The sequence below is a fragment of the Homo sapiens genome, chromosome Y (genome assembly GCF_000001405.40).
Source record: "Homo sapiens chromosome Y, GRCh38.p14 Primary Assembly".
Taxonomy (NCBI): domain Eukaryota; kingdom Metazoa; phylum Chordata; class Mammalia; order Primates; family Hominidae; genus Homo; species Homo sapiens.
The window spans coordinates 1,399,696-1,419,419 of NC_000024.10; the positions used below are offsets into that span (position 1 = coordinate 1,399,696).

General features: G+C 53.2%; 1 protein-coding gene and 1 long non-coding RNA gene across 5 annotated transcripts in view; one reads left to right on the forward strand and one right to left on the reverse strand.

Moving 5' to 3' along the window:
* Positions 836-15,726, forward strand: ASMTL-AS1 (ASMTL antisense RNA 1). 2 transcript variants are annotated; one of them, NR_026711.1, is made up of 6 exons: positions 836-891; positions 1,767-2,530; positions 3,766-3,890; positions 13,048-13,193; positions 14,067-14,615; positions 15,048-15,726. It is a non-coding gene; the product is annotated as an ASMTL antisense RNA 1 (long non-coding RNA). The 2 variants fall into 2 exon arrangements; NR_026710.1 differs by lacking the exons at positions 14,067-14,615; positions 15,048-15,726 and having other exon boundaries at positions 13,048-13,891.
* ASMTL (acetylserotonin O-methyltransferase like) overlaps positions 3,444-19,724 on the reverse strand; it is a 50,618-nt gene continuing 34,337 nt past the window's right edge. For all 3 annotated transcript variants that reach the window (NM_001173473.2, NM_001173474.2, NM_004192.4), the window contains 4 exons: positions 19,287-19,419; positions 18,278-18,421; positions 13,037-13,159; positions 3,444-3,794 (listed from right to left, as the gene is read on the reverse strand). In NM_001173473.2, the coding sequence (NP_001166944.1) occupies positions 3,574-3,794; positions 13,037-13,159; positions 18,278-18,421; positions 19,287-19,419 (621 nt within the window). In that variant the 3' untranslated portion in view covers positions 3,444-3,573. The remainder of the gene's footprint in view (positions 3,795-13,036; positions 13,160-18,277; positions 18,422-19,286; positions 19,420-19,724) is intronic.

Sequence of the window (19,724 nt, forward strand, 5' to 3'; positions counted from 1 at the left end):
GTTTGGTGGTGCGTGCCTGTAATCCCAGCACTTTGGGAGGCCAAGGTGGGCGGATTACCTGAGGTCGGGAGTTCCAGACCAACCTGGCCAACATGGTGAAACCCCATCTCTACTAAAAACACAAAAATTAGGCGGGCATGGTGGTGGGTGCCTGTAATCCCAGCTACTCAGGAGGCTGAGACAGGATAACTACTTGATCCCGGGAGGTGGAGGTTGTAGTGAGCCAAGATCGTGCCATTGCACTCCAGCCTGGGCAACAGAGTGAGATTCTGTCTCAAAAAAGAAAAAAACAGACCAAAAAAAAAACGGAGTCTGTCCAGAATTATACACAGTCACCTGTGCCAGGTAACAACCCTTCAGTCAACAACGGCCTTCCTAGACAGCGGAGGTCCCAGGAGATGGTAATACAGTAGTTTTCGTGTGCCTTTATTTGTAGACACACAAATCCCTACCATTGTATTACAGCAGCCTGCAGCACTGGGCACACTCACCTGCTGTCCAGGTTTGTAGCCCGGGAGCCTGGGGCCCTGCCGCACAGCCCAGGTGAGTAGCAGGCTGTATGTGCCACGGCGGTATGTGTGAGTGCACCCCGTGATGGGCACACAAAGAGAATTGCCTAAGGATGCATTTCCCGAAACAGGTCCCTGTCATTCAGTGACACACGTGACTGTGTGTGTGTGTGTGTGTGTGTGCGCACAGATGGGTGTGTATGTGTATGTATACACACCTGAACACTCACACCTCTACACACGTGCCTGTACACGGATAGAACACATAATTTACAGAATTTATGGAACACATAATTTATATTACATAAAATATATAGAGATCAGTTTTGTTTTCTTTTATTTATTTATTTAGACGGAGTCTCACTCTGTCGCCCAGGCTGGAGTGCAGTGGCACAATCTCGGCTCACTGCAACCTCCACCTACTGGGTTCAAGCCATCCTCCTGTCTCAGCCTCCCCCCTGTAGCTGGGATTATAGGCTCCTGCCACTATGCCCGGCTAGTGTTTGTATTTTGTGTAGAGACAGGATTTCACTCTGTTGGCCAGGCTGGTCTCGAATTCCTGACCACAGGTGATCCGCCCACCTCAGCCTCCCAAAGTGCTGGGATGACAGGCGTGAGCCACTGCACCCAGCCTATTTCAGCTGTTTTCTTAAAGCACAAAGCAACCTACACATTCTTTTGTGATACCAGGCCACTGTAAGGGTGGAGCAGCATGTGACTTTGGTGTTATTGAGATCATCCGTGACCATTGCAGAAAACCACTCCCATCTGTGCAGTGAGCACCTTGAAATAGGCCGCCCAGGAGGCAGAGGGTGCACCTTGAAATTGGGCTAGGAGGCGGAGCTTGCGCCTTGAAATAGGCCGCCCGGGAGGCGGGGCTTGCACCTTGAAATAGGCCGCCCAGAAGGCGGGGTTGCACCTTGAAATAGGCCACCCAGGAGGCGGGGCTTGCCCCTTGAAATAGGCCGCCCAGGAGGCGGGGTTGCACCTTGAAATAGGCTGCCTGGGAGGCAGAGCTCGCACCTTGATATAGGCCGCCCAGGAGGCAGGGCTTGCCCCTTGAAATAGGCCGCCCGGGAGGTGGGGTTGCACCTTGAAACAGGCCGCCTGGGAGGCGGAGCTTGCACCTTGTAATAGGCCGCCCGGGAGGCGGGGCTTGCACCTTGAAATAGGCCTAGAAGGTGGGGCTTCCACCTTGAAATAGGCCGCCCAGGAGGCGGAGTTTGCACCTTGAAATAGACTGCCCAGGAGGCGGAGGTTGCAGTGAGCCGAGATTGCATTATTGTACTCCAGTCTGGGTAAGAAGAGCTAAACTCCAGAGTCTGTCTCAGAAAAAGGAAAACAGCTGAAATATAGGAGACTGACGCCCAGCCCAGGAACAGGTAAGCTGGGTGCACGCGCCGTGAAAACAGCACCTAGGCCTGCTCCGGTTCTCGCTTTGCAGATGCCTCCTGAACCTCAGTGCCTCCTAAGGTCAAGGCTGTGAGTTAAAGGGCTCCACCCCAGCCCAGCCCCAGGTTGGCCCAGCCATTCCCTGGTGGAGGGGCCAGGGAGGAAAGGGGGCTGTGTGGGCACCAGAGGGTGAACTGAGGTCTGAGGGTCGGGACACAGGCCGGGAACAGCAGCTGGGAGCGGAGCACGGGGGAAACGTGGATGCGCTGAGCTCCCTACAACCGCAGTGAGCATGTGCCCAGGAGGGCCTCACGGGGTGGGTGTGAGTCTGGCCTGCCTGGGCTCGGGGTGGGGGGTGTTTACAGACGCATTTCAGCCCCGCAGCAGGGGCTGGGGAGGTCCCGCTCGTGACAGTCTCTGCACCAAGGCAGGAGAGATGGAAGCCGCCCAGAGAACTGCCACTCCATAGCCTGTGGGCATCCAGGGGTGAGCGGCAGCGATGGCGCCCCATGGAGGAAACACACTGGAAATCGTGCAGAAGATGGGAAGATGCAGGCTGGAGTGCGGAGAAGGACTGAGACCCTGCCTGGTAGACGGCACCGTCACAGCAGCCGTCTGCCTGCTAGGAGGTAGGAGAAAGCCCTGTCCCCACCGCCCTCCCCGGGAGTCCCCACTGGCTACTCTGGAAGGCTGCTGGTTCCCAGAACATCCGTGGGCTGAACAGTTATTCCTGGCTGTCCCTCCGTCCCCTCCTCCCCGAATGCAGCCTCCATCTCCTCCTCTAAAAATGCAGCCTCCATCCCCTCCTCCCCCAATTCAGCCTCCGTCCCCTCCTCCCTGAATGCAGCCTCCTTCCCCCCTCCCAAAATTCAGCCTCTGTCCCCACTCCCCAAATACAGCCTCTTTCCCTTCCTCCCCCAATACAGCTTCCTTCCCAAAAGCAGCCTCCTTTCCCTCCTCCTCCCCAAATGCAGCCTCCTTCCCCCTCCCAAAATGCAGCCTCTGTCCCCACTCCCCAAATGCAGCCTCCTTCCCCTCCTCCCCAAATGCAGCCTCTTTCTCCTCGCTCCTCCCCAATGCAGCTTCCTTCCCCCTCCCAAAATGCAGCCTCTGTCCCCACTCCCCAAATGCAGCCTCCTTCCCCTCCTCCCCAAATGCAGCCTCTGTCCCCCTCCCCAAATGCCACCTCCTTCCCCCCTCCCCAAATGCAGCCTCTTCCCCTCCTCCCCGAATGCAGCCTCCTTCCCCTCCTCCCCGAATGCAGCCTCCTTCCCCTCCTCCCCGAATGCAGCCTCCTTCCCCTCCTCCCCGAATGCAGCCTCCATCCTCTCCTCCCCGAATGCAGCCTCCTGTCCTCCCCAAATGCAGCCTCTGTCCCCCCCTCCCCAAATGCCGTCTCCTTCCCCTCCTCCCCAAATGCAGCCTCTGTCTCCTCCTTCCCAAAAGCAGCCTCCTTCCCCCACTCCCCAAATGCAGCCTCTGTCTCCTCCTCCCTAAATGCAGCCGTCTCCCTCATCAAAACCCCTATGGAGGAGGCAGAGACAGGCTTTTGCTTTCTTTATTCAGTCACGACTACACGCTCCTATGTGACTGTCCTATGGTACTTGGGGACCGGGCGGTCCACCTGCAGCCTGGGGGAGGACATCCCTATAATGAACATGCTGCCTGGGCTTCAGGGGGCCACTTTGGTGGCCAAGATGGCATCCAGGACACCCCCCAAGTGCACCACCTGCACCTGGTGGAAGCCGTGCAGCTCCAGCAAGCACTGATACTCGCCCAGGCTCCGCTCCTTGCCTTCAGTCTGCACCAGCATGTTCAGTGACTGCATCAGGGCGCGCTGCGCCACCCTCTTCTCCTCATCCAGGAGCGTCTCCACCAGCAGCAGGCCGGCCCCTGAGGGAGACAGCAGAGAGCTGGAGTCCTGGCCAGCCAGGCGGGGATCCTTCAGCAGGACACAGGGGACACAGCAGGCAACAGGAGCTCAGAACGGTGAGCAGAGGCTGCTGAGAACCCTTGGCCAGGGGGCCCACACAGGTAGGGGAGGGGAGAGAGACAGAGACTTGATGCAGGGCGGACAGACAGGGAGAAGGAGATTTGATCGAAAGATGGATGGATAGATGGATGCATCACCTGGGCCTTTTCCGGTTCTCCTGGATGCATGGATGAACAGATGGTAGATGATGGGTGGGTAGGTAGGTAGAAAGATGTATGGATAGGTGGACGCATGGATGAGAAGGATGGATGGATGAACAGATGGTAAGTGATGGGGAGGTACATGGATGGATGGATAGATGGATGCATGTATGAGATGGATGGATGGGTGAATAGATGGTAGATGATGGGTAGGTAGGTAGATGAGTGGATGGACAGATGGATGCATGGATGTGATGGATGGATGGGTGAATAGATGGTACATGATGGGCAGGTAGACGGATGGATAGATGGATGCATGGACGAGATGGATGGATGGGTGAATAGATGGTACATGATGGGTAGGTAGGAAGATGAATAGATGGGTGCATGGATGAGATGGATGGTTGGGTGAATAGATGGTAGATGATGGGTACGTAGGTAGATGGATGGATAGATGGATGCATGGATGAGATGGATGGGTGAATAGATGGTAGATGATGGGTAGGTAGGTAGATGAATGGATGGATAGATGGATGCATGGATGAGATGGATGGATGGATGGGTGAATAGATGGTAGATCATGGGTACATAGATAGATGAATGGATGGATAGATGAATGCATGGATGAGATGGATGGGTGAATAGATGGTAGATGATGGGTAGGTAGGTGGATGGATGGATGGATGGATGCAGGCATGGATGAGATGGATGGATGGGTGAATAGATGGGTAGGTAGGTAGATAGATGGATGTATAGATGGATGGATGGATGGGTGAATAGATAGTAGATGATGGTTAGGTAAGTAGGTAGATGAATGGATGGATAGATGGATGCATGCATGAGATGGATGGATGGGTGTATAGATGATAGATGATGGGTAGGTAGGTAGACGAATGGACGGATAGATGGATGCATGGATGAGATGGATGGATGGGTGAATAGATGGTAGATGATGGGTAGGTAGATGAATGGATGGACAGATGGATGCATGGATGAGATGGATGGATGGGTGAATAGATGGTACATGATGGACAGGTAGATAGATGAATGGATGGATATATGGATGTATGGATGAGATGGATGGATGGGTGAATAGATGGTAGCTGATGGATAGGTAGGAAGATGAATAGTTGGATGCATGGATGAGATGGATGGTTGGGTGAATAGATGGTAGCTGATGGGTACGTAGGTAGATGTATGGATGGATAGATGGATGCATGGATGAGAGGGATGGATGGGTGAATAGATGGTAGATGATGGGTAGGTAGATGAGTGGATGGATAGATGGATGAATGGATGAATAGATGGTAGATGATGGGTACGTAGATAGATGAATGGATGGATAGATGGATGCATGGATGAGATGGATGGATGAGTGAACAGATGGTAGATTATGCGTAGGTAGGTAGATGAATAGATGGGTGCATGGATGAGATGGATGGTTGGGTGAATAGATGGTAGATGATGGGTACGTAGATAGATGAATGGATGGATAGATGGATGGATGGGTGAACAGATGGTAGATGATGGGTACGTAGATAGATGAGTGGATGGATAGATGGATGTGATGGATGGGTGAATAGATGGTAGATGATGGATCGTTAGGTGGATGGATAGATGGAGGCATGGATGAGATGGATGGATGGGTGAATAGGTAGGTAGGTAGATAGATGGATGTATAGATGGATGCATGGATGTGATGGATGGATGGGTGAATAGATAGTAGATGATGGTTAGGTAGGTAGATGAGTGGATAGATAGATGGATGCATGCATGAGATGGATGGGTGTATAGATGATGGGTAGGTAGGTAGACGGATGGATGGATAGATGGATGCATGCATGAGATGGATGGATGGGTGAATAGATGGTAGATGATGGGTAGGTAGATAGATGAATGGATGGATAGATGGATGCATGGATGAGATGGATGGATGGGTGAATAGATGGTACATGATGGGCAGGTAGATAGATGAATGGATGGATATATGGATGTATGGATGAGATGGATGGATGGGTGAATAGATGGTAGATGATGGGTAGGTAGGAAGATGAATAGATGGATGCATGGATGAGATGGATGGTTGGGTGAATAGATGGTAGCTGATGGGTACATAGGTAGATGGATGGATGGATAGATGGATGCATGGATGAGATGGATGGGTGAATAGATGGTAGATGATGGGTAGGTAGATGAGTGGATGGATGGATGAATGGATGAGTAGATGGTAGATGATGGGTACGTAGATAGATGAATGGATGGATAGATGGATGTATGGATGTGATGGATGGGTGAATAGATGGTAGACGATGGGTAGGTAGGTGGATGGATAGATGGAGGCATGGATGAGATGGATGGATGGGTGAATAAATGGGTAGGTAGGTAGGTAGATGGATGTATAGATGGATGCATGGATGAGATGGATGGATGGCTGAATAGATGGTAGATGATGGGTAGATAGATGAATGGATGGATGAGATGGATGGATGGGTGAATAGATGGTAGATGATGGGTAGGTAGGAAGATGAATAGATGGGTGCATGGATGAGATGGATGGTTGGGTGAATAGATGGTAGATGATGGGTAGGTAGGTAGATGGATGGATGGATTCATGGATGAGATGGATGGATAGGTGAATAGATGGTAGATGATGGGTAGGTAGGTAGATGAATGGATGGATAGATGGATGCATGGATGAGATGGATGGAGGGATGGGTGAATAGATGGTAGATGATGGGTACGTAGATAGATGAGTGGATGGATAGATGGATGTATGGATGTGATGGATGCTTGAATAGATGGTAGATGATGGGTAGGTAGGTGGATGGATGGATGGATAGATGGCATGGATGAGATGGATGTATGGGTGAATAGATAGGTAGGTAGGTAGATGGATGCATGGATGTGATGGATGGATGGGTGAATAGATAGTAGATGATGGTTAAGTAGGTAGATGAATGGATGGATAGATGGATGCATGCATGAGATGGATGGATTAGTGAATAGATGGTAGATGATGGGTAGGTAGGTAGATGAATGGATAGATACATGGATGCATGCATGAGATGGATGGATGGGTGAATAGATAATAGATGATGGGTAGGTAGATGAATGGATGGATAGATGGGTGCATGGAACAGATGGATGGATGGGTGAATAGATGGTAGATGATGGGTACATAGATAGATGAATAGATGGATGCATGGATGAGATGGATGGGTGAATAGATAGTAGATGATGGGTAGGTAGATGAATGGATGGATAGATGCATGGATTGGATGGATGGGTGAATAGATGGTAGATGATGGGTAGGTAGATGGATGGATGGATGGATGCATGCATGGATGAGATGGATGGGTGAACTGATGGTAGATGATGGGTAGATGGATGGATGGATGGGTGAACTGATGGTAGATGATGGGTAGGTAGATAGATGAATGGATGTATATAGATGGATGCATGGATGAGATGGATGGCTGGGTGAATAGATGGTAGATGATGGGTAGGTAGGTAGATGGATGGATGGATAGATGGATGCATGGATGAGATGGATGGATGGCTGAATAGATGGTACATGATGGGCAGGTAGATGAATGGATGGATAGATGGATGAGATGGATGGGTGTATTGATGGTAGGTGATGGGCAGGTAGGTAGATGAATGGATGGATATAGATGGATGCATTCATGAGATGGATGGATGGGTGAATAGATGGTAGATGATAGGTAGATAGATGAATAGATGGATAGATGGATGCATGGATGAGATGGATGGATGGGTGAATATATGGTAGATGATGGGTAGGTAGATGATGGATGGATGGATAGATAATAAATGATAGACAGATGACAGGTGACGGAGCATTGTTAGAAGGCCAGACGCAGTGGCTCACACCTGTAATCGCAGCACTTTGGGAGGCAGAGGTGGGAGGATGGTTTGAGCCCAGGAGTTTGAAACCAACCTGAGCAACATAGTGAGACCCTGTCTCTATTTTATTTTTTTTAAAAAAGGATGATAGATGTATAAAGAGAGACAGAGACAGGGTGGAGAGAGGGAGGAAGAGACAGAGAAGATAAAGGAGGAAGGAGGAGAGAAGAGAAACAGAGATTGATGATGATAGATGAGATACCTAAAAAGACACAGAGAGGAGGAGACAGAGAGGAAGAGGGAGAAGAGAGAGAAAGAGAGACAGAGGCCGGGTGCAGTGGCTCATGTCTTTAACCCCAGCATTTTGGGAGGCTGAGGCAGGAGGATCGCTTGAGCCCAGGAAGGGTAGCCTGGGCAACATCGCAAGATCCCATCTCTACAAAATTTAAAAAACCCTAACAGGGCATGATAACAAATGCTGGTACTCCCAAATACTCGGGAGGCTGAGGCAGGAGGATCGCTTGAGCGCAGGAGGTCAAGGCTGCAGTGAACTATGATGGCAACACTGCCCTCCAGCCAAATGCTGGTACTCCCAAATACTCGGGAGGCTGAGGCAGGAGGATCGCTTGAGTGCAGGAGGTCAAGGCTGCAGTGAACTATGATGACAACACTGCCCTCCAGCCAAATGCTGGTACTCCCAAATACTCGGGAGGCTGAGGCAGGAGGATCGCTTGAGCCCAGGAGGTCAAGGCTGCAGTGAACTATGATGACAACACTGCCCTCCAGCCAAATGCTGCTACTCCCAAATACTCGGGAGGCTGAGGCAGGAGGATCGCTTGAGTGCAGGAGGTCAAGGCTGCAGTGAACTATGATGACAACACTGCAGTCCAGCCAAATGCTGGTACTCCCAAATACTCGGGAGGCTGAGGCAGGAGGATCGCTTGAGCCCAGGAGGTCAAGGCTGCAGTGAACTATGATGACAACACTGCCCTCCAGCCAAATGCTGGTACTCCCAAATACTCGGGAGGCTGAGGCAGGAGGATCGCTTGAGCCCAGGAGGTCAAGGCTGCAGTGAACTATGATGACAACACTGCCCTCCAGCCAAATGCTGGTACTCCCAAATACTCGGGAGGCTGAGGCAGGAGGATCGCTTGAGTGCAGGAGGTCAAGGCTGCAGTGAACTATGATGGCAACACTGCCCTCCAGCCAAATGCTGCTACTCCCAAATACTCGGGAGGCTGAGGCAGGAGGATCGCTTGAGCCCAGGAGGTCAAGGCTGCAGTGAACTATGATGACAACACTGCCCTCCAGCCAAATGCTGCTACTCCCAAATACTCGGGAGGCTGAGGCAGGAGGATCGCTTGAGTGCAGGAGGTCAAGGCTGCAGTGAACTATGATGGCAACACTGCACTCCAGCCAAATGCTGCTACTCCCAAATACTCGGGAGGCTGAGGCAGGAGGATCGCTTGAGCCCAGGAGGTCAAGGCTGCAGTGAACTATGATGACAACACTGCAGTCCAGCCAAATGCTGGTACTCCCAAATACTCGGGAGGCTGAGGCAGGAGGATCGCTTGAGCCCAGGAGGTCAAGGCTGCAGTGAACTATGATGACAACACTGCCCTCCAGCCAAATGCTGGTACTCCCAAATACTCGGGAGGCTGAGGCAGGAGGATCGCTTGAGCCCAGGAGGTCAAGGCTGCAGTGAACTATGATGACAACACTGCCCTCCAGCCAAATGCTGGTACTCCCAAATACTCGGGAGGCTGAGGCAGGAGGATCGCTTGAGTGCAGGAGGTCAAGGCTGCAGTGAACTATGATGGCAACACTGCACTCCAGCCAAATGCTGCTACTCCCAAATACTCGGGAGGCTGAGGCAGGAGGATCGCTTGAGCCCAGGAGGTCAAGGCTGCAGTGAACTATGATGACAACACTGCACTCCAGCCAAATGCTGGTACTCCCAAATACTCGGGAGGCTGAGGCAGGAGGATCGCTTGAGCCCAGGAGGTCAAGGCTGCAGTGAACTATGATGACAACACTGCCCTCCAGCCAAATGCTGGTACTCCCAAATACTCGGGAGGCTGAGGCAGGAGGATCGCTTGAGCCCAGGAGGTCAAGGCTGCAGTGAACTATGATGACAACACTGCCCTCCAGCCAAATGCTGGTACTCCCAAATACTCGGGAGGCTGAGGCAGGAGGATCGCTTGAGCCCAGGAGGTCAAGGCTGCAGTGAACTATGATGACAACACTGCCCTCCAGCCAAATGCTGGTACTCCCAAATACTCGGGAGGCTGAGGCAGGAGGATCGCTTGAGCCCAGGAGGTCAAGGCTGCAGTGAACTATGATGACAACACTGCCCTCCAGCCAAATGCTGGTACTCCCAAATACTCGGGAGGCTGAGGCAGGAGGATCGCTTGAGCCCAGGAGGTCAAGGCTGCAGTGAACTATGATGACAACACTGCCCTCCAGCCAAATGCTGGTACTCCCAAATACTCGGGAGGCTGAGGCAGGAGGATCGCTTGAGCCCAGGAGGTCAAGGCTGCAGTGAACTATGATGACAACACTGCCCTCCAGCCAAATGCTGGTACTCCCAAATACTCGGGAGGCTGAGGCAGGAGGATCGCTTGAGCCCAGGAGGTCAAGGCTGCAGTGAACTATGATGACAACACTGCCCTCCAGCCAAATGCTGGTACTCCCAAATACTCGGGAGGCTGAGGCAGGAGGATCGCTTGAGCCCAGGAGGTCAAGGCTGCAGTGAACTATGATGACAACACTGCACTCCAGCCTGGGTGACAGAGGGGGACTCCTATCTCCACAAAAAACTTTTTTTTTTTTTTCTGAGACGGAGTCTTGCTGTGTTGCCCAGGCTGGAGTGCAGTGGCGCGATCTCTGCTCACTGCAACCTTCGCCTCCCAGGTTCAAGTGATGTCCTCTCTCAGCCTCCTGAGTAGCTAGAATTAGAGGCGTGCACCACTACGCCGGACTAATTTTTGTATTTTTAGTAGAGGCGGGGTTTCACCACGTGGCTTAGGCTGGTCTCGAACTCCTGACCTCGAGATCTGCCCGCTTTGGCCTCCCAAAGTGCTGGGATTACAGGTGTGAGCCACCGTGCCCGGTCTCAGAAAAAACTTCTTAAAAAATTAGCTGGGCATGGTGATGCATGATGCATGCCTGTACTTCCAGCTACTCGGGAGGCTGAGGTGGGAGGACAGCTTGAGCCTAGGAGGTCAAGGCTGCAGTGACCTGTGACTGCTCCACTGCACACCAGCCTGGGCAGCAGAGTGAGACCTCGTCTCAAAAAATATAATAGAGCCGGGCGAGGTGGCTCACGCCTGTAATCCCAACACTTTGGGAGTCCCAGCTGGGTGGATCACCCGAGGTTGGGAGTTCGAGACCAGCCTGACCAACATGGAGAAACCCTGTCTCTATTAAAAATAAAAAATTAGCCGGGCGTGGTGGTATGTGCCAGTAATCCAGCTACTCGGGAGGCTGAGGCAGGAGAATCACTTGAACCCTGGGGGTGGAGGTTACGGAGAGCCAAGATCGTGCCACTGCACTCCAGCCTGGGCGACAGAGCGAGACTCCGTCTCAAAAAAAAAAAAGAAGAGAGATACACAGAGAAAGAGAGAAAGAAGGAGAGACAGAGGGAGAGAAGAATGGAAGTCTCTTGACCATTTGAGCCTATGGGGAGTCCTGTTTCAACGCGCAGGTGCCAGGCCCTGGCTCTGTGAAGATAATTAACCGTTGTCTGCAAATATTCCAGGAATTCTCACTGGAGCAACAACGCTGAACTCTTGAGGGAGGCTGAGTGCCCGTCAGATTCCCTCAGGGCCAGCTGGTTCAACTGTGGAAACCCAATATGCAGCCCTGGCCCGAACCCCTGGAGCCAGGGTTTCCAGCAGCCCCACTGGGCTCCAGGAGCAGCCTGGGTGGACGGGGGAGAAACCTGATGTGAAGGCTTTGAGCCGAGATGGTGCGTGCTGTGTGTGTGTGCACGTGTGTCTGCGTAGAAACACACAGATTAGATCCAGCTGCAGAGTCCACTCATGCGTGGATTTCCCTCTGCCTCGGCCACCCCTGAGACAGCAACACCAGCCCACGGCTTCCTCCTCTGCAGCCTCCTCAGTGTGAAGACCTCCTCAAGAATGAAGACTTTTATCATGAGCCACTTCAACTTCACGAATAGTAAATATATTTTCTCTTTAGGATTTTCTTTTTTTTTTTTTTTTTTTTTTTTGAGATGGAGTCTCGCTCTGTTACCCAGGCTGGAGTGCGGTGGCGCAGTCTCGGCTCACTGCAACCTCCGTCTCCAGGTTCAAGCGATTCTCCTGCCTCAGCCTCCTGAGTAGCTGGGATTACAGGCACCCGCTATCAAGCCCGGCTTATTTTTTGTGTTTGTTTTTAATAGAGACGGGGTTTCACCATGTTGGCCAGGCTGGTCTCAAACCCCCGACCTCAGGTGATCCGCCCGCCTCGGCCTCCCGAAGTGCGGGGATGACAGGCGTGAGCCACCACACCTGGCCACACTGGCCAACTTTAAATACAGCAGATTTACCCTCCACAATTTAGCGGGCCTCTCACCCAGACGCTGGACCTGCCAACCTCCAAAGTCACATAAGCCAATTCTTTTTTTGTTGTGGTTGTTCTTTTTTGACACCGAATCTCACTCCGTCGCCCAGGCTGGAGTGCAGTGGCGCGATCTCGGCTCACTGCAGTCTCCAGCTCCCGGGTTCAAGTGATTCTCCTGCCTCAGCCTCTGAAGTACCTGGGATTACAGGTGCGCACTACCACACCTGGCTAATTTTTGTATTTTTAGTAGAGACGGGGTTTCACCATGTTGGCCAGGCTGGTCTCGAACTGCTCACCCCGGGTGATCCACCTGCCTCAGCCTCCCAAAGTGCTGGGATTATAGGCATGAGCCACCACGCCTGGCTAATTTTTGTATTTTTAGTAGCGATGGGGTTTCACCACGTTGGCCAGGCTGGTCTGAAACTCCTGACCTCAGGTGATCCGCCCGCCTCGGCCTCCCAAAGCGCTGGGATGACAGGCGTGAGCCACCGCGCCCGGCCTCCTTGTAAAACTTGAACCCAAAATACTACGTCTTAACAAAAACAGCTAACCTGACGATGGGCTCTCACCTGGCTTGCAGCTCTCGGCGACCCTGCTGAGTAACTTGTGGACTTTGTCGTCTGGCCAGTCATGCAGGATCCGGCACAGGACGTACAGCTCAGCGCTGGGGAGGGGGTCCCTGAAAAAGTCACCTGGTTTAAAGACAAAACGAGATACGTCCGTCAGGTATGGAAGAAGCAGTCCTCCCCGGACAGATCCTGGGACGGCCACCCGCATCCTAAATCAGGGACAGAGAAGAGAGGGGTGTGGGCGGGAATGGGTCTTCCTGAAGTACATCCCCGTGGGGACTTGAACAGAGCTCCATGAGGAGCTGGTTAGTGATGTCACGCCCGTGCGGTTTGACTCGGGCTGAGAAAACGCTGGGGACAGTGGCTCACACCTGTAATCTCAGCATTTTGGGAGCCTGAGGTGGGCAGATTGTCTGAGCTCAGGAGTTCGAGACCAGCCTGGGCAACACGGCGAAACCCCATCTCTACTAAAAATGCAAATTAGCTGGACAGGGGTGGCGGGCGCCTGTCATCCCAGCTACGCGGGAGGCTGAGGCAGGAGAATCGCTTGAACCTGGGAGGTGGAGGTTGCAGTGAGCCGAGATCGCGCCATCGCACTCCAGCCTGGGCGACAAGAAGGCAAGGGAGGAAAAAAGCAGGGAATTCAGGGGCAGCACCTGGGCGAGGCAGGCAGAGTCGGCGCACATGGGCGTGTGCCAGGGAGAGTCGGGGCCGCACTGCCGGTGAGTGGGCAATGGCAGGGCCTTCTCTGGTGATCCCCTGATTCAGGCGCCCCAGGAGGGTTGCCTGTTGCGGGGGGCGCATGTAGCTGCACGCCCCTCTGTAATTGCTGAAATAAAAAGATGGTCTGCTGTAGTGCAGTGAATGGTGTCCCCTTAAAAGATATATTCAGGTGCTGACCCTCAGTCGCTGGGAATGGGACCTTATCTGGAAATAGGGTCTCTATGGATGTCATTGAGTAAAGAATTTCAAAATGAGATCATCCTGGAGTAGGGTGTCCCCTAAATCCAATGACAGGTGTCCTTCTAAGAGACAGAAGAGGAGACAGACACAGAGGAGAAGGCCACGTGGAGACGGAGGCAGAGACTGGAGTGATGCGGCCACAAGCCCAGGGACGCCTGGAGCCCCCAGGAGCTGGAAGAGGCGGGAAGGATCCTCCCCTAGAGCCTCTCAGAAAGAATCAAACACAACTGCAATGGGTTGGGTGGTGACGTCCAAAAGATCTGTCCAAGTCCTAAGCCCCAGAACCTGGGAATGGGACCTCATTTGGATAAAGTTTCTTTGCAGATGTAATTAAGGATCTGGAGATGGGATCATCCTGGAGTAGGGTGGGCCCTAAATGCAATGGCAGGTGTCCTTCTAAGAGACAGAAGAGGAGACACACAGAGGAGAAGGCCACGTGGAGATGGAGGCAGAGACTGGAGTGATGCGGCTACAAGCCCAGGGACACCCGGAGCCCCCAGGAGCTGGGAGAGGCAGGAAGGATCCTCCCCTAGAGCCTCCAGAGGGAGCACAGCCCTGAGATGCCTTGATCTCAGACCTCCGGTCTGCAGGACAGGGAGAGGATAAATAGCAAGCTGTGAGTTGCATGAGGGGAAAGAAGGGGCGGGAGAGTGTGCGGTGGGAAGTCTCCAGAGCTGTTTTCCCCCAGCTGCGAGGAGAAGGTGCTCTTTCAGGGCTCATGATTTTAAACTTTAGCATTTCCGGCCGGGCGGGGTGTAATCCCAGCACTTTGGGAGGCCAAGACGGGTGGATGACCTGAGGTGAGGAGTTCGAGACCAGCCTGGCCAACATGGTGAAACCCCATCTGTACTAAAAATACAAAAGTTAGCCAGGCGTGGTGGCGGGCACTTGTCACCCCAGCTACTCGGGAGGCTGAGGTGGGAGGATCCCTTGAACCCAGGAAGTGGAGGTTGCAGTGAGCTAAGATCACGCCACTGCACTCCAGCCTGGGTGACAGAGCGAGACACCATTCAAACATAAATAAATTTCAGCATTTCTGTCTCTGCAGATCTGGCAAATCAGAAGCACAGCTATCATGATGTCCTGCAGGAGGAGCTGTAGGGTGGTTGCGTTTTGTTTTTTTAAAAACGAGAAAAGCATCCAGGAACCTCTGGGGGAGGGTTGTGGAGGTCCCCAGCACCTGTGCCCACAGGCCTGGCCGCTGTCGGATGGTGCTGAGTTACAGCACGTCAGCTGTCTCTTTTTTTATTTTTTTATTTTTTTTGAGATGGAGTTTTGCTGTGTTGCCCAGGCTGGAGTGCAGTGGCGCGATCTCGGCTCACGGCAAGCTCCGCCTCCCGGGTTCAAGCGATTCTCCTGCCTCAGCCTCCTGAATAGGTGGGATTATAGGCACCCGCCACCATGCCTGGCTAATTTCTGTAATTTTAGTAGAGATGGGGTTTCACCATGTTGCTCTGGCTGGTCTCAAACTCCTGACCTCAGGTGATCCACCCGCCTCAGCCTCCCAGAGGGCTGGGATTCCAGGCGTCTCCTGTCAATCCGTCCTGGCCTCAGCAGCTGCCACCTGGAAGTTCTCCTTCAAGTCTAACCTAAGGCCACACTGTGACGGCTCTCGGGTCAGTTCCTTCCGTGACCTCGGCACCGTGGATGCCCATGAATGCTGATCTCGGCTGTTCCCCATCTCCACTCCCCTCACGTCTCGGCTACTTGCACTGATGATAACTTCACACAGTCGTCCACCTGTTTATTTTTATTTATCATTATTATTATCATTGTCTTTTTTTTTTTGAGATGGAGTTTCGCTCTTGTTGCCCAGGCTGGAGTGCAGTGGTGAGATCTCAGCTCACTGCAACCTCCGCCTCCCAGGTTCAAGCGATTTTCCTGCCTCAGCCTCCTGAGTAGCTGGGATTACAGGCGCCCGCCACCACGCCCGGCTAATTTTTGTATTTTTAGTAGAGATGGGGTTTCGCCATGTTGGCCAGGCTGGTCTCGAACTCCTGACCACAGGGGATCCGCCCGCCTCAGCCTCCCAGAGTGCTGGGATTACAGGCGTGAGCTACTGTGCCCAGCCTTGTCCACCTGTTTGGAGATGCCCTCGTGTCTGTGTGGACCCGCAGAGAGACACGCACAGGCAGACCCACGGACGCACAGACACAGACACAGGCACACACACATATACCCATCCAGATGCACAGAAATGCAGACACAAAGGCACACATGCAAGCACACGCCACAAGACATGCACACACGGACACATGCAGGACACAGATACACTGACAGGTACACACATGGACACACAGATACAGCAAGACAGGCACACACACACACACGGACACAGATACAGTGACAGGCACACGCGCACAGAGACAGACATGCACAGATGGGCACACTCACGCACGGACACACAGTGATACACCAACAGGCACACACAGACGCAGACATGCACAGATGGGCACACACACATGGACATACAGATATAGCGACAGGCACACACAGACGCAGACATGCACAGCAACAGGCACACACAGACGCAGACATGCACAGATGGGCACAGACAGACACGCACGGACACACAGATACACCAACAGACAGGCACGCACACAGACGCAGACATGCACAGCTGGACACACACACACACGGACATACAGATACAGTGACAGGCACACACAGACGCAGACATGCACAGATGGGCACACACACACACGGACATACAGATACACCAACAGACAGGCACACGCACATAAACATAGACATGCACAGATGGACACGCAGACACACATGGACATACAGATACAGCGACAGGCACACACACACGGATGCAGACATGCACAGATGGGCACACGCACGGACACACAGAGATACCCCAACAGGCACACAGACGCAGACACACAGACATACACACATATACCCACACAGACGCACAGAAACACACATACCCTCACACATATGCAAGCACACACCACAGAGAGTTGCACACACACAAACGCAGATGCAGACACAGAGACACATTCTTACGCACGCACACACAAGGACATACCACACACAGTCAGTCATGCACACACAGACACATGCACACACAGACGTACACACAAGCACAGCAGTGACATGCACACACACCATGCACACAGATACAGATGGGCACACAGACATGCACACACAGACATGTACACATATATCCACAGACACGCAGACACACATACCCTCAGAGACATACACACCACAGAGGTGCACACACACACACGGACTCAGACACAGAGACATTCTGACGTACAGACACGCATGCAAGGACATACCACACAGAGATGTGCACACACAGACTCAGAAACACACAGAGACACAGACACAAGCACAGCAGATGCTCACATATCCACACAGACACACACCATGCACATAGATGCAGACACACAGACAAGCACACCCAGACACATGCACACAGACACACAACCACAGCAGTCACATATGCACACAACCACCGGCCCACAGCATGCACACAGATGCAGACGTACACACAGACACATGCACACAGGGACACACAACCACAGCAGTCACATACACACACACACCTACCAGCACACAGCATACACACAAATGCAGACACAGACGGGCACACAGACGCACATACACAGACATGCACACATATATCCACACGGATGCACACACATCACCTCACAGAAACATATGCAACCACACACCACAGAGACTTGCAGACACGTGGACACACAGTCTCATGCACAGACACACACACAAGGACATACTACACAGACGTGCACACACAGTTACATATGCACGGAAGACACACACCATGCACACAGATACAGACACAGACATGCACACACACACACATGCACACAGACACACAAGCACGACAGTCATATGCACACAGACACCCACCGGCTCACAGCATGCACACAGATGCAGACACACACACACAGACATGCACACATATACCCACACAGACACACACACATACTCTCACAGAAACATATGCAACCACACACCAGAGACGTGCACACACATGCGGATGCAGACACACACACACACAGACATGCTCACGCACAGACATGCTCCATGTCACAGGTATGCTCCAGGGCATACCACACACATGCACACAGAGAGACACACACACACAAGCACCGTAGACAGTCCCATTTGCACACACATACCCACCATGGAAACGCCCAGGCAGAAACACAGGTGCACACACAGCCATGCCCTCTGTCTAGAAAGAGATGCTGCAGTCTGGAAAAGGTTAGCAGGGTGAACAGGAGGAGGGCTCACCTGCTGCGAAGTGGATCTGCACTGCCTGCGGTCCGGGGGGTTGGAAGTGGGCGGCCAGCTCGATAATGTCTGGGAGGTCAAACACAGTCACCTGCATACGAGGGTACTCACGGGCCAGCTCTCGGGCCAGTGCACCCGTGCAGCCTGCGGGGAAGCAAATGCATGCTCTGTGGCTGGGTCGTCTATGGAACTCTGACGACTCTCCAAAGCTCAACTGGGGCAGAAGTAATGTTCAAGGGCATGGCATTGATTCCCATGCTGGAAGGGAAAGCCAGTGGTGGGGAGCTCGCTGGTATCCCAGACAAGACTGTACAAGCAGGTGAGTGTGGGGGCACAGACCTGCAGGGAAATCCTTCCAGCCCAGGGGTGGAGGGCTGTACTCCCTTCTCCTTCCTGCCGTGGGGATGTAGACACAATGGCCGGTGCTACAGCAGCCACTCTGGGCCACGTGTAGGGGGCACAGACCTACAGGGAAATCCTTTCTGCCCAGGGGTGGGGGCTGTACTCCTCCCTTCTCCTTCCTGCCATGGGGATGCAGACACGATGGCTGGTGCTACAGCAGCCACTCTGGACCACAAGGAGGAGAGGCATTCAGAGGTTGGGGAAATGTAAGCTGATGGTGTGAGAATCGTCCCAGGCCCCGATCCCCCAGCAGCCCTTGGGAATGTGTCTACTGCTCCACCCACTGTCCAGGGCTGGGGTGGGGTGGAGGGTGAGTCAGGATATAATCAGACTTGCTGAGGGGAATCCAGGGGTTCCAAGGTGCTCTGCCTCAGCTCCGCAGCCAAAAGAGAGGGCCCCGGAGTTTCTAGGGGGGCATTTAGGCATCCCCGGGGTCCTCCTGGAACTTGGGAATATCCACCCATGATCTGGGACTCAGCCTGGCCCGGTTCAGGTCGTTATCAGGTTTGTCAATGGAAAAAGGCAGTTGGTAGGTGTCCTGAGCAGGGAAGATACCTGTGGCTTAATAAACGAAAGTAAGGAGAGCCCTGGCGGGGGGGCCACCCACCTCCCACGTCGCAGGCGGAGGAGAAGCGGGACAGATTGAAGGCCGTGGCCACCTGGCACGCAGTCAGCTTCGTCATGCCGTGCATGGCCCGCATGAACCTCAGCCGCGTCTCCGGGCTCTGGTAGTACGCATCCTGGAACACAGCAGGTGCTTAGGGGCACCAGAGAACACGGGGCGAGGGCTCGCCCAGCCTCTCCCTGGGGGTCGGGGGGAGAAGTGCAGGGCTCCAGAGCGTGGGGGCTCAGCCGCGCCTGGGCTGCAGAGCGGGCTTCATGCCACAGCTGTGTGGGCTACTCTTGTCTGTGTGGGGGCTGGGCTGGCTGGGGACAGAGGACCCCAAAGTGGTGGACGATCTCCTTGGAATCACTTGGTCCACACCACAGCCTGAACTCCAAGCGTCTGACTTTCGCAGTAGGCTTTTCACAATAAAGCTTTTCA